The sequence below is a fragment of the Homo sapiens genome, chromosome 10, assembly GCF_000001405.40.
Source record: "Homo sapiens chromosome 10, GRCh38.p14 Primary Assembly".
Classification (NCBI taxonomy): domain Eukaryota; kingdom Metazoa; phylum Chordata; class Mammalia; order Primates; family Hominidae; genus Homo; species Homo sapiens.
The window spans coordinates 35,574,352-35,587,358 of record NC_000010.11 but is presented as its reverse complement, the minus strand read 5'-3'; the positions used below and the strand labels follow the sequence as shown (position 1 = coordinate 35,587,358).

Genomic DNA, 13,007 nt, shown 5'->3' with positions numbered 1-13,007 from the left:
GAGACAGACAGAACTCCCAGACAGAACTGGTTGATTCAGAGAGGACTTCGGAAATCACTGGCTTGACTCCTTCAGACATCAAGAGCAAAAATGAAGCTGAGAAAAGTGCTGTAGGCTGAACAAGTCCCCCCAACATTCATCTGCTAACGTCCTAACCCACAGAACCTCAGAACGTGCCTATATTTGGAGACAGGGTCTTTTAAGAGGTAATGAAGCTAAAATGAGCCCATTAGGGTGAGCCCTAATACAATCTGACTGGTGTCCTAAGAAGAAGAGATTACGACCAGAGAGAGACACCAGGGAGGTGCGTGCACAGGGAAGATGCTACAGGCACCGGGGGAAGCCGCCATCTGCGAACCAAGGAGAGAGTCCTCGGGAGAGACCAACGGTGCCCACACCTTTGTCTCGGCTTTCTGGCCTCCAGGACAGTGAGAGGGTGTTTCTGCTGCAGAAGACGCCCAGTCTCTGAGGTATTCTGTTCTTGTAGCCCTAGCAGAAAGTGAGGGAATTTGCCCAAGATCACAGAAGAATCTGGACTCAGAGCTGCCTCTTCCAGGACCGTGGTCTTTCCATTTAACCCAGAGCTGACCACACACACACACACACACACACACACACACACACACGTAGGTACATGCAGGAGCCTCACACTTCCAGAGGGTGTTTTTTGTATAGTCCTCTGAAGGCACAGGGACCTCTGAGGGAGGAAATTGTGTGAAATTCAAGCAATACTTATTGTGGTCACAAGAAACCTGACCCTGGACACTCAGATCAGAAGCAGAACTGGTGGTGCAGCGAACACCCTACCCTAATTCTGATCTCTTGGGGTACAGGCATTTTACATAGGGGTGTATGGGGGCGTGTGTGACAGAGAGAGAGAAAGAGGGAGGGAAGGAGGGAGAGTGAGCACACACCACCGGGGAGCCTGAACACACGGAGGCTGGGGTAAGCTGCAGGCTGTCTCTTCTCTGCCAGCTGTTTCCAGGCTGTTCTAGAGGGCAGGTGCCTTTGCTGTCACCACCGAACACGCCCAGGCTGAGAACAAATGCTTGTGTGTTCCTGTGGTGCCTGAGAGCTTAGATCAAAGATATTTTTGAAGGACTTTGCACAAAGGAAGAAGAAATAACTTCAGCTTACCTCCAAGCTACTTGGATGCCAACTCCCTAAGTCTTTGGGTGTTCCTCCAATGCAGAACTTCTATGGGGTGCTCACACCCTTCACATTCGGTCTGAGTTCTCCACACCTCACCCTTCCCTCTGGGCTCTTTACGCAGCATCAGGTCCCAGCTCAGCCTACCTTGGAGCATTTCCAGCCCAGTTTCATGGGACAGTCATTTCCCTTGAAGTCGGGTTGGCTAATGTATTTCCACTTCTGTAGCTTTTCTCCATACAGTGTCTCCCCTGACTTCATAATAGCACTCACTTGGCTATTTACAGAGTATGTTTTCCACCACCAAAGACCCACCTGTGTTCCCATGGGGCAGGGGTGGGCGCTGGGAAGTTCCTGCAGACCACCTTCTGCTCAGCCACTTCCAATCTCTTGCAGCCATTTACTCTTGGTGGAAGAGTCAAAATGCAACCTTTCTGAGGTGACATGCCTTCACAGCATGTCTGCGACCAGTGTGTGTGATATGTTTGAGTGTTCAAACTTTATTAAGTTGCTAGTTTTAATTCAGTGAGTGGCACATGTGGGCATGGTGCTTGGCACTAGGGATACTACGGGGCCAAGCCTCTGCCCAGGGGGTCTCCATGTGGAATGGGATGCAGGAAGGTACCTGCAGGTCAGCAGCGCAGCAGGGTGCAGTATCCGGGTTAGGGCTGTTTCTGAAGGAGAGGCGTGGCAGGCTCCGAAGGGATGCGAGGGTCGCCAGGCTGTGATGGGCAGGAAGCAGCACATGCAATGCCCTAAAGCTGGGAGTGAACCTGCGGGGTACCGGGCACTGTGTGCAATGCAGGACAAACAAAGCCTGGGCGGGAACAAGGTGAGGGTGGAAGCAGGGCCCTGTTTGGTCCTGGGACAGTGTGGGTTCTACCCGATCGACAATGGAAAGTCACTGAAGGTCTCCATTGGAGGTGACACAGTCGGATCTGCATTTGAGGAAGATGGCATCACCTGTTGTGAAGAGAAGGACCCAGAAGGCGGCAGCGGTGGAGGTGAGTGCCCCTCAGGCTGCCAGGGATGGAACCCGGGGGTTCTGAGGAGGCCAAGTCCAGAGCGATGGGCATGAGTGAGGGTGGAGACAACCCAAGGGGAGGGAGCCTCCTGGCCCAGGCACCCAGGCAGATGGGGTCCCTCATTAAGAAGGGACAGGTGTGGGACACAGGGCCAGGGAGTGGGAGGAAGGGTGGCCTCCGTCAAGTAGAGGTGTCTGACAGACGGATGTGAGGACAGCCTGAGCTAGAGACAAAGCCCTGGAAATACTCGAGTAGATGAACTGCTGTTTAATGACCTGTCCATTGGAGGCATTTCGTGGTTCTTCAAAGGTAAGCTTCCATCTTTATCACTTGTATCACAGGCTCTCACCAAACGCAACTTCCCTTCTTGCAGATGCAGTGGGACCTTGATTTCTCACGAGGTGTCAGCTTTTTTGTGGAAGGTCTTGTTGAAGTGGAGATGTCCATTAACCTAACCCACCATAACACATCTTTTCCACACCTTTGATTTTCCGGTCCCACCGCCTCCCTTCATTCCTCTTTCATCCTCTTCTCTCCAAATGCAGCTGCCCTGTTTGCACCCTCAGCTACCTGTTCAAGTCTTTCCAAACAAGCATGAGGTTACGCACCTTGGGCAGCACGACAGGTTGCTACATCAACTATTTTTATCATCCTCTTTCTGCCATAGGAAGCTGGAGCAATCTAGTCTTCGGGCCTGGGCCCTCCTGGGTTTTGGTGAAGAGCCATCCTCCGTGGGTGGCAATTGGTTTGCCTGGGTTGGCTTCCTCCAAGAAAAGCCAGAGGGCTGGAATCATTCAGACCTCCTGAATCCACAGTGAGTTGACTCTCACAAATGAGTGAGCTCATGTAAAGCACCCTCATCTGTAACATTCTACCATCTCCCCCAATCGCCAAGGAATGCAGGTCCTGAGCATCCCGCCTGGGGCTCGGGCTCTAAAACAATAAACTGCAATGCTGGGAAGTTGTGCGCTGTGCCCAGTTGCTCCGGTTATTTCAGGACATTTTCCTGCTCACAGGCCTGATTGCCAGTACGTTTCCGTAGGGGCACCCGGTTGTCCGTCAACTCAACTTGTTTACTCTGACAAGTTTCATGTACAGGCAGAATGTGATTGGGAAAGACGTCTTCATGTCATTGAATACCGAGACTCTTCTAATTTTTATAACAGATTACACAGAGAACAAGATGCATAAGTATATGAAAATATTATTCACAAAATCAAAGATATTTCAACAGCTAGAGACGTTCAAATTTCCCCAGGATTTGGTTCAAAGAGATTGATCATTGACATTCAGGGGAAGCTGCATAAAGGCCATCCCTGATCAGGGAAAGTAGCAGAATGAGGTTGGTGTTGCACTGAATTAGGCTGATTGGGTCCCATGGATGTATTTTTCCTGTGGGCCAAATTTGTATTCTCTGTGAAGTAAAAAAAACAGGCCCGGGGAAATGAAAATGGCATGGGGAAGATTTAGAGCCTGTCTTACCTTGTTCACATTAAATGTTTTTATTGTAGCAGAGTCCTTGGAGCTTATATTTGTGACACAATTATAGCGTTACAAAAGTTTCAGGGAGGAATACGTCAAGCAATTTGCAAAAGTAAAGGTCCTGTAGTGGAGATAATAAAATACAGAACTTCAGTATACTCTCTTGTGAGCAATCTAATAAAATACAGAACTTCAGTATACTCTCTTGTGAGCAATCTCTGCTGCTGACTAGTGAGTAAAAAGATGAAATGTTGTAATTGGACCTAAAAACCTCAAGCACCAGCTAAGCACGGTGGCTCATGTCTGTAATCCTAGCACTTTGGGAGGCCAAGATGGGAGGATTGCTTGAACTCAGGAATTGGAGACCAGCCTCCAGCATAGCAAGATCCTGTCTCTACTAATATTCAAACAAATTAGCCAGTCGTGGTGGCACATGCCTGTAGTCCCAGCTACTTGCGGGGCGGGGCTGAGGAGGGAGGATCGCTCAAGCCTGGGAAGTCAAGGCTGCAGTAAGCCCTGCATTCCAGCCTGGGTGACAGAGAGAGACCCTGTCTCAAAAGAAAAAGATGTCAACAAAAAAACCTCAAGCACCCACAAATGTACAATTTTATGTGCAAAATGCCTTGTCCACTACCAACTGGTGGGCCTTTCAAAGTCCCATTTATTGGAGCATGAAGTCAAGGATGAAGAAGGCACTGTGGATTAACAAACCAGACACCTAATGGGGCAATGGATAGGAAAATATTTTAATGGGTATTTAGTACTAGGTTCTCTAATAAATAGTCCAGTGACTAGTGGAAAAATCCTTTTATATGTCCTTCATTCCTTTCAAGCAAGGAATTTGCACTCACAAGATTTTTTTAAAGCAGTATATTCTTTCTTTTTTTTTTTTTTCAGTCTCACTCTGTCACCCAGGCTAGAGTGTAGTGGCGTGATCTCAGCCCACTGCAACCTCCACCTCCCAGGTTCAAGCCATTCTCCTGCTTCAGCCTCCCTGGTAGCTGGGCTTACAGGTGCCCACCACCGCACCCCACTAATTTTTGTATTTTTAGTAGAGATGGGGTTTCACCATGTTGACCAGGCTGGTCTCGAACTCCTGACTTCAGGTGATCCACCTGTCTCTAAAGCAATATTTTCTTGATTCATCTCTGTCATCAATAAATAAGTCACTAAGATTTCTAGGGAAGCAAAATTAATAGATAGAATCTGAAAATCTAAGAAATCACATGGAGTTTGTTCTTTCTCCCAAAGATTTTTTTTTTTTTTTTTTTTTTTTTTTTTTGAGACAGAGTCTTGCTGTGTCGCCCAGGCTGGAGTGCAGTGGCATGATCTTGGCTCACTGCAAGCTCCGCCTCCCGGGTTCACACCATTCTCCCGCCTCAGCTTCCCGAGTAGCTGGGACTACAGGCACCCACCACCATGCCCGGCTAATTTTTTGTATTTTTAGTAGACACAGGGTTTCACTGTGTTAGCCAGGATGGTCTCAATCTCCTGACCTTGTGATCCGCCCACCTTGGCCTCCCAAAGTGCTGGGATTACAAGCATGAACCACCATGCCCGGCCCCCCAGACCTCTTTTTAACAATGGACCATCTCATTTCACTCCACTGGGAGGTAATAGGGTAGTGTGATTGTGAGTGTGACTTCAGAATCAGACCAGCATGGGTTCTAATCCTGGCTCTGCCACCCTCAAGTTACTTTCTCTTCCCCTAAGTCCTTTCAGCTGAAAAGTGGGAAATGCAGATGCCCACTGCACAGAATAACGGCAGGAATTTTTAAATAATGTAATGAGTGGTTCTTGCATTTGTTTCTTAGAATCGTAAAGTCTGGTCAGGGTGTGTCAGGGGTTACCATGTGGCTGGAACTGGCTCTCCACAGTTTCTTCCACTGACACAGATCTGCATGCCTCTGACCTGTGTATACTGGGGTTCCACGGAGGAGCTCATTGTATGACAGGCCTGTGCTGCTGGAAGTGGACAACGATAACGACTGGTTAACACCATGAGAAGGTGGCCCCTGGCCATTTCTACCTCTGCACGACTGTAACTCTTAAAGGGTCTTCCTTATACTGAGCAGAAATCCATGTCTCAGAAACTTTTACTGATTCCTGGCTCTAGTTCTGCCCTCTCCATTAACAGAGTAACATCCATCTTTCAGCAGTCCTTCCAAGTTAACGTTTCACAGCCCCATCCACCACAGGAGAAGCTGGGGCCACTCCTCCATTAGTTTTTTTGTTTGTTTGTTTGTATTGAGATGGAGTCTTGCTCTGTCTCCCAGGCTGGAGTGCAATGGCTCAATCTCAGCTCACTGCAACCTCCGCCTCCCTGGTTCAAGCCATTCTCCTGCCTCAGCCCCCCAAGTAGCTGGGATTACAGGTGCCCGCCACCACACCCAGCTAATTTTTGTATTTTTAGGAGAGACGGGGTTTCACCATGTTGGCTGGTTATTTGGCCATAGAAACAAGTGACCATCAGAACCAGTTTAAAACCCATTCTCCTTGATCAACGAGGATTTCACATCAGCAGCCAAGGGCAGGCAATCCGCAAGTCTTAAGTAACCACACTGACGCAGGCAAATGCCAACCAATCCCTAAATGCTCTGGGCACTGAAATCCCTGAACTTCATGCTTTCCAAGGCCCTGTGTGAGATCAGCTCTTCCCTTTGCTCAGAGACTGTCTCCTGCTTAGCAAGCAAGGAAGTCGGCATTCTGTTCCAAATGGGGAAGGGTAGGCTCTGCCTTTGATGGGAGGCACACAACTTAGATTGTAAGGAATAAGCAGGGTACCACCAGAAAATGACATGCTGCCAAAGAAATTGAATCAGGAGGGCTGACGGTGAGCCATTATGGGGTGAGACAGAGGGACTGGTGCTACTTTAGATGAGCTACCCAGAAAAGGCCAATGAAGACACAACTTTTGAGATAAGACATGAGCAATGAGGAAATCCATACTGAGACATTCAATGAAAGTCACGGGCTGGGCAGGTTTTGAGATGGAAAAAGCACCTCAAACCTCAAAATGAGAAATTGCAAGCTCAGAAAAATAAAACTCTAGTCCAGCAGAACCTGCTAAAGTAGGGGCCACGGCCTCAGAGAGGGGACAGGTGGTGACCATGCATGAAATCCCTGAGTTTCCAGATTCTCTGAAGCTCTTAAACTGAGACCTGGCGGGAAGGGGATGTCACCTGGGGGCCAGGCAGCAATTCTGAAATAGTAACACATAGATTTCTGCAAAATGCCATTAATAAGCCAGACTTACCATCTGTGTGGGTTCTATATCCAGCAACAATAAAAATAACAGGATCCCCAGACACCATTCTTGCTTGTAGGTGCATTATTTGCTAAGTACTTTTTAAAGCTAAAATGTTGCAGCTGTCTCTTCTCCAAAGACGTGCATGGAGATTGATGTGACAGGTGTGGCCTGCCACGCTCTGTTTAGGGGCAGCTGTAGATTAACTGCAAGTCCTGTTTGGTTGCTGATGACGTGACCTTTGCCAAGTCACCTAGCCTTTCTGCACTTCGGCTCTATCTGAAAAGCGATGGGGATAGAACATCTGTTCTACCTACATCAGGGAGTCGCAGAGGAGATGAAGAAGAAAGCTTTGAAAATTGGAAGTGCCTCAAAATATGAGATCAATACTATGTTTCTGGAAAAATGTTACATTTAAAGTACATATTTGTAGACCGAATGACACTGTACACACTTCCTTAGTTGACGGCCAGAGTCTCCTGTATTTGTGACACGCATCTCTACTAAGACTGCTCTTTCCCTAACACTGTCCTCGGCAATGCTGAGTGGGTGGGCTCCGGACTCTTGGTTCATGTGCTTCCTGCTGGAATTCCTTTCCTTTCTACATATCCAGATTCTACAACACAACCAGTTCAAGCTCTGCCTCTTTCCTGAAGCCGCCTCATAGCTCTACTTTTTATTTTTAATTGAAAAACAATTGTATATATTTATGGGGTACAATATGTTCTGATACATGTTCTACATTGTGGAATGATTAAATCAAGCTACTGAGCAAATCCATCACTTCACGTACTTATTTTTGTGTGTGGTGAAAACAACTGAAATCTACAACTTTGGAATACACAATGCATTTATGATGGTAGCTGTTCGTTCAATAGATCACTAGATCTTACTCCTCCTAAGTGAAACTTTGTACCCATTGGTGCAGCACTCCCCTTTGTTCATCCTCCTCCTTTCCTATCCTCTGATAATCACCACTCTACTCTACTTCTGAGTTCAGCTTTTTTTAGATTCTACATGTAAGTGAAATGATTGGATATTTGTTTCTGTGCCTGGCTTATTTCACATAGTGATGGACACCTAGGTTGCCTCCCTGTCTGGGCTATTGTGAACAGTGTTTTAATGGGAGTGCAGCTGTCTCTCCAGCACACTGATTTCGATTCCTCTGGATATATAGCCAGAAGTGGGATTGCCGGATCATATGGCAATTCTATTTTTAGTCTTTTTAGGAGCCTCCATATTGTCTTCTAGAATGGCTGTAATAATTCGCCTTTGCAACAGCAGTGCAAAGGGGCTCCCTTTTCTCCATACCATTCTCACAGGTGTGATGAATTCTGATAGTTTTCCAGGTGTTTCTTTTAGGTTTTCTTGGTAGCAACCACATTAGCTTCAAGGTTACTGAACACGAGATAAATGACTGTAGAACCCATGAGTGCCTGCAGGAAGAAATGATGTTCAAGAACCACTTTATCTACATTTCTATACCTCCAGCTTTCCTCCTTTTGCTCAAGATGTGACTATGGCTTGATCCCTGTCCTGATCTTCTGGACCTGTGCCTCACCCCATCCACTCACTCACTGGACAGGGCTGGCATGTATTGGGTCCTGGGGTTCAGCAGGGAATGGGTCATACAAGGCTCCTGCCTCCTGAGTCAGCATTCTAGGGGCAGGAGGGCTTGCCACGCTCTGTGGTTGTAGGGGTAGCTGTAGATTAACTGCAAGATCTGTTTGGTTGCTGATGACGCGACCTTGACAAGTCACTTAGCCTTTCTGCACTTCAGCTCTACTGAAAAGCGATGGGGACAGAACAGCTGTTCTACCTACATCAGGGAGTTGCAGGAGAAAGCTTTGAAAATTGGAAGTACCTCCAAATATGAGATCAGTGCTTTGTTTCTGGGAAAATGCCACACCAGACAATAATCAAGTGAACAAGAAAAACAGCAGACAGTGGGGAGAGCCAGGCAAGGCTTATGGTTGGGCAACACAAGAGCAACAAGGAGGGCCCTTCCCTGGGGGGTGGGCTGTGGTGAGAGGAGGCCTGTAAGGACATGGCATTGAAGCAGACGTCTGTTCTACCTACATCAGGGAGTCACAGAGGAGATGAAGAAGAAAGCTTTGAAAATTGGAAGTACCTCAAAATATGAGATCAGTACTGTGTTTCTGGAAAAATGTTACGTTTAAGGCACATATTTGTAGACTGAATGACACTGTTCAAACTTCCTTAGTTGACGGCCAGAGTCTCCCATATTTGGATACGCATCTCTGCTGAGACTGCTCTTTCTCTAACACTGCCCTCAGCTCTACTGAAAAGCGATGGGGATAGAACATCTGTTCTACCTACAACAGGGAGTTGCAGAAGAAAGCTTTCACAATTGGAAGTCCTCCAAATATGAGATCAGTGCTTTGTTTCCGGAAAAATGCCACACCAGACAATAATCAAGTGAACAAGAAAAACAGCAGATAGTGAGAAGAGTGAGCAATGCAGGTATCAGGGGGAAGCACGCCAGACAGAAACAACAATGCAGAAAAAGTTCCTGAATCGAAACAGAACTTGGTATACTTAGAGAACACACTAGACAAAAGGGAGAGTAGGAACGAGAGATGTGACATTTGTCAGGTCCTGTGATTTCCCACTCAGGAACATGGCACGTCTCTTTCGTTCAGGTCTTTCGTGATGACTGCCGGCAAAGTTTGGCATTTTCTTTTTGAGATGGAGTCTTGCTCTGTGGCCAGGCTGGAGTACAGTGGTGTGATATTGGCTCACTGCAACCTCTGCCTCCTGGGTCCAAGTAATTCACCTGCCTCAGCCTCCCAAGTAGCTGGGATTACAGGTGTGCACCACCATGCTCAGCTAACTTTTTGTATTTTTAATAGAGATGGGGTTTCACCATGTTGGTCGGGCTGGCCTCGAACTCCTGACCTCAAGTGATCTGCCCACCTTGGCCTCCCAAAGTGCTGGGATTACAGGTGTGAGCCACTGCGCCCGGCCGGCATTTTCTCTATTTAGGAATTGCACCTGTGTCGGTTTCCTAGGGCTGCCATAACAAATTTCCACATGCTGGATGGCTCACAACAACAGAAATTTATTCTGTCACTGTTTTGGGGGCTGGAAGTCCAAAATCAAGGTGCCAGCAGGGCCATATGCTCTGGAAACTCCAGAGAAGGATTCTTCCTTGCCTCTTCCAGCTTCTGCTGGCCCTGGCCAACCTTGGCGTTCCTTGGCTTGCGGCTGCATCATTCCAACCTTTGCCTTCACCTCCACAGCGTGTTGTCCCTGTGTCTGCCGACTCCCCTCTCCTTACAGGGATTTAGGCCCACCCTAGTCCAATATGACCTCGTCTTAACTAATTACATCTGCAAAGACCTTATTTCCAAATAAGGTCATATCTGTACATTTCAGGTGGAAATGAATTTTTAGAGGGCACTACTCAATCCAGCATAGCATGTTTCTAGATGGGTTTCTCCCTAATCAGTGGCAGTGAAAGACCATGTAGCATAGTGATGAGAAATAAGCTCTGGATTGGGCCAAGTGCAGTGGCTCATGCCTGTAATCCCAGCCTTCCGGGAGGCCAGGGCAGGAGGATCACTTGAGTCCAGTTCAAGACCAGCCTGGGCAACACAGTGAGATCCTGCCTCTAAAAAAAACTCTGGTATCAGGCTTTCTGGCTCTACCACTTACTGACCAGGGTTTTCACCTCTCCAAGCCTAATAAGCACCTTCATCCGGAATAATAGTAGCTACCTCATGCAATTGTTATGGGGATTAAATGAATTAACAAATGTTGAGTGCTTAAACTGTGCAGGACACACTGTAAGCATTTAATAAATGTTTTTGTTCTTTGACATAATTTGCTCCTATTTTGTGGTTTGGGTTTTTTTCTTAAGAGACAAGGTCTTGCTCTGTCACCCAGGCTAGAGTGCAGTGATGCCATCACAGCTCTTTGCAGTCCCAAACTCCTGGGCTCAAAGTGATCCTCCTGCCTCAGCCTCCTGAGTAGCTGAGACTACAGGCATGTGCAGCAAAATAGCAACACTTTGTTGCTATTTTTGAATGGCATCTCCATTATATTCTCTAATTGATTGCTGCTGGTAAATTAGAAAACTCAATTTTTGTGTACTAATCTTGTAACTATAATCTTACTGAATTCTTATAATTTTCCAGTTGTTTCTCCTAGATTTTCTTGGTAGCAATCACATTAGCTTCAAGGTACTAAAAAAATACTGAACACAAGATAAATGACTATATAACCCACAAGTGCCTGCAGGAAGAAATGATGTTCAAGAACCGCTCTGTCTACATTTTTATTACCAAAGACAGGTTCAGAGATTCCACCTCATGCCCATGCTAGGATGAAGATGTGTTTAGGATGAAAATGTGTCTGTTTTCATTGATCCAGCCCAAACACAGCTTTTGAGAGCAGGGGTCCGGGTTTTTCATCTTGACACAGTCTCATTGTGTATGATGCATGGTAGATTACCGGTACTCAGGATTTGGACTAACCTCAGGAACACATTATCTGTTACAACTTACCGATGGTTCACCCCAGAAGTGTGGCGAGAACTGGTCTTTCTTTTCCTATGTGTAACCTCTGAAGTACATGTGGCCCTTCTCTCCACCTTGTGGCCGTCCAGGCGGGAACCGTGCTGCCTGTCACACCCACTCCTTGAGCACCAGAACTAACTAAATTCTGTGGCAGTTTCCCATTGGTCTTCAAATCTGTGTTCCTCAGCAATGCCTGTGAGGCCTGGGCTGATCAGCTCTTCTCCAACCACATCTCCATCCATCTTCCCTTCTCCCCATCTCTTCCACGGAGACGTCCACTCAAAAGGTCATGTCCATCAAGCTGCCACCTCCTAGTTACTATCATAACCACTCAATTTCCCTCCTGACACTTACCAAGATCCTTTTTACACGCTAACTTATTTGACCATCTGCTCCACTAGAACATCCCCCAAGAAAGCCATATCCATCCCCAACATGAATTAGACAGTGTCCAGCTCAATATTTGTTGAAGGAATTACGTCAGTATAAAACAAGTACACATTTTCTAGATAATATTCTAGAACAGGAATTTTGTTTCGAGTTTTGCTTACACGTAAGGGGCCGTGGCTCAGCACAGGATGCTGCACAAGCTAGGGAAGGAGCTACCCAGCATTCTGGGCTCTGGGTGCCTCACTCTCGGTTTTTCCACATCCTGTATTTGTTGTTTTTCAAAGATTGCAGGGGTGACTAAACCTCTTATTAGTCTCGAGGTTGCTCCTGCAAAACCCAGCATAACCATAACGGGATATTAGGGACGGAAAGGCTCTGGAAGTCACACATTTCTCTGTTTTAAAGATGAAGTGACTCAGAATTGATCACAGCCATGGGACCTGCCAGACCACATGCCTGCTGCATTGCACCAAGGCCTGGTCCTGGGGGGTCCTGCCCCTGCAGAGTCATCATTACCACGCGCTGCCCCCTAGTGCTGGTGTCTGCACGGGAGGAGGTGCAAAATCCTTCTCTTCCGAGGTTGGCTTCCTGAGCTTTGGTCAGCAGGTCTAAGGAAGCATTGCTGGAGCTCACAGAAATGAAGCAGCATCCTCTTCAGGACAGAGGCACTTGGCAGTGGATTCACACACCCACTTCCACTGTTTCGAGATTTCCAGGATCCACCAATGCAGACAAGAACTCACAAACCAGGTCCAGGAATGGCCAACTAGAGGCCACGCTGAGCATTCAGCTGTACTTGGGAGAGCTGGGGAAGAAGGGACAGCAGCGGAAAACTGGGTACCCAGGTCCTGTAAGACCTGCTGCTTCTACCCATGGCCACCCTTCTTTAGGAGAGGACCTGGAGAACACAACCGACTTCCCCTCGTCCTGGGTTTTCTGTCACCGTTAGGCTTGCACTTGGCTTTTACTATGTCCACCCTTGCTACATTTAGAGGAGCGTCCAACAATTGTGGCTGAATGGCTGAGCAGAGTGTGCTCAGAAACAGACTAAGACAGGTGATGAAAACAAGAGTCTCCCTCACAGCCAAGGTCACTGAGAGGTCCAGAGAGGTCAAATAATTTGTCCAAGGTCACAGAGCAAGTTAATCTTTTGGACTGAGACTAAAACCCAAG

At 47.2% G+C, this 13,007-nt stretch overlaps 1 long non-coding RNA gene across 1 annotated transcript; it reads right to left on the bottom strand.

Annotated features, from left to right (window-relative positions):
- Positions 1-1,012: 1,012 nt before the first annotated feature.
- Positions 1,013-5,912, bottom strand: LOC107984221 (uncharacterized). Its single transcript, XR_001747422.2, has 3 exons — positions 5,507-5,912; positions 3,657-3,777; positions 1,013-3,324 (listed from the first exon to the last, which is right to left on the bottom strand). It is a non-coding gene; the product is annotated as an uncharacterized LOC107984221 (long non-coding RNA).
- Positions 5,913-13,007: the final 7,095 nt, after the last annotated feature.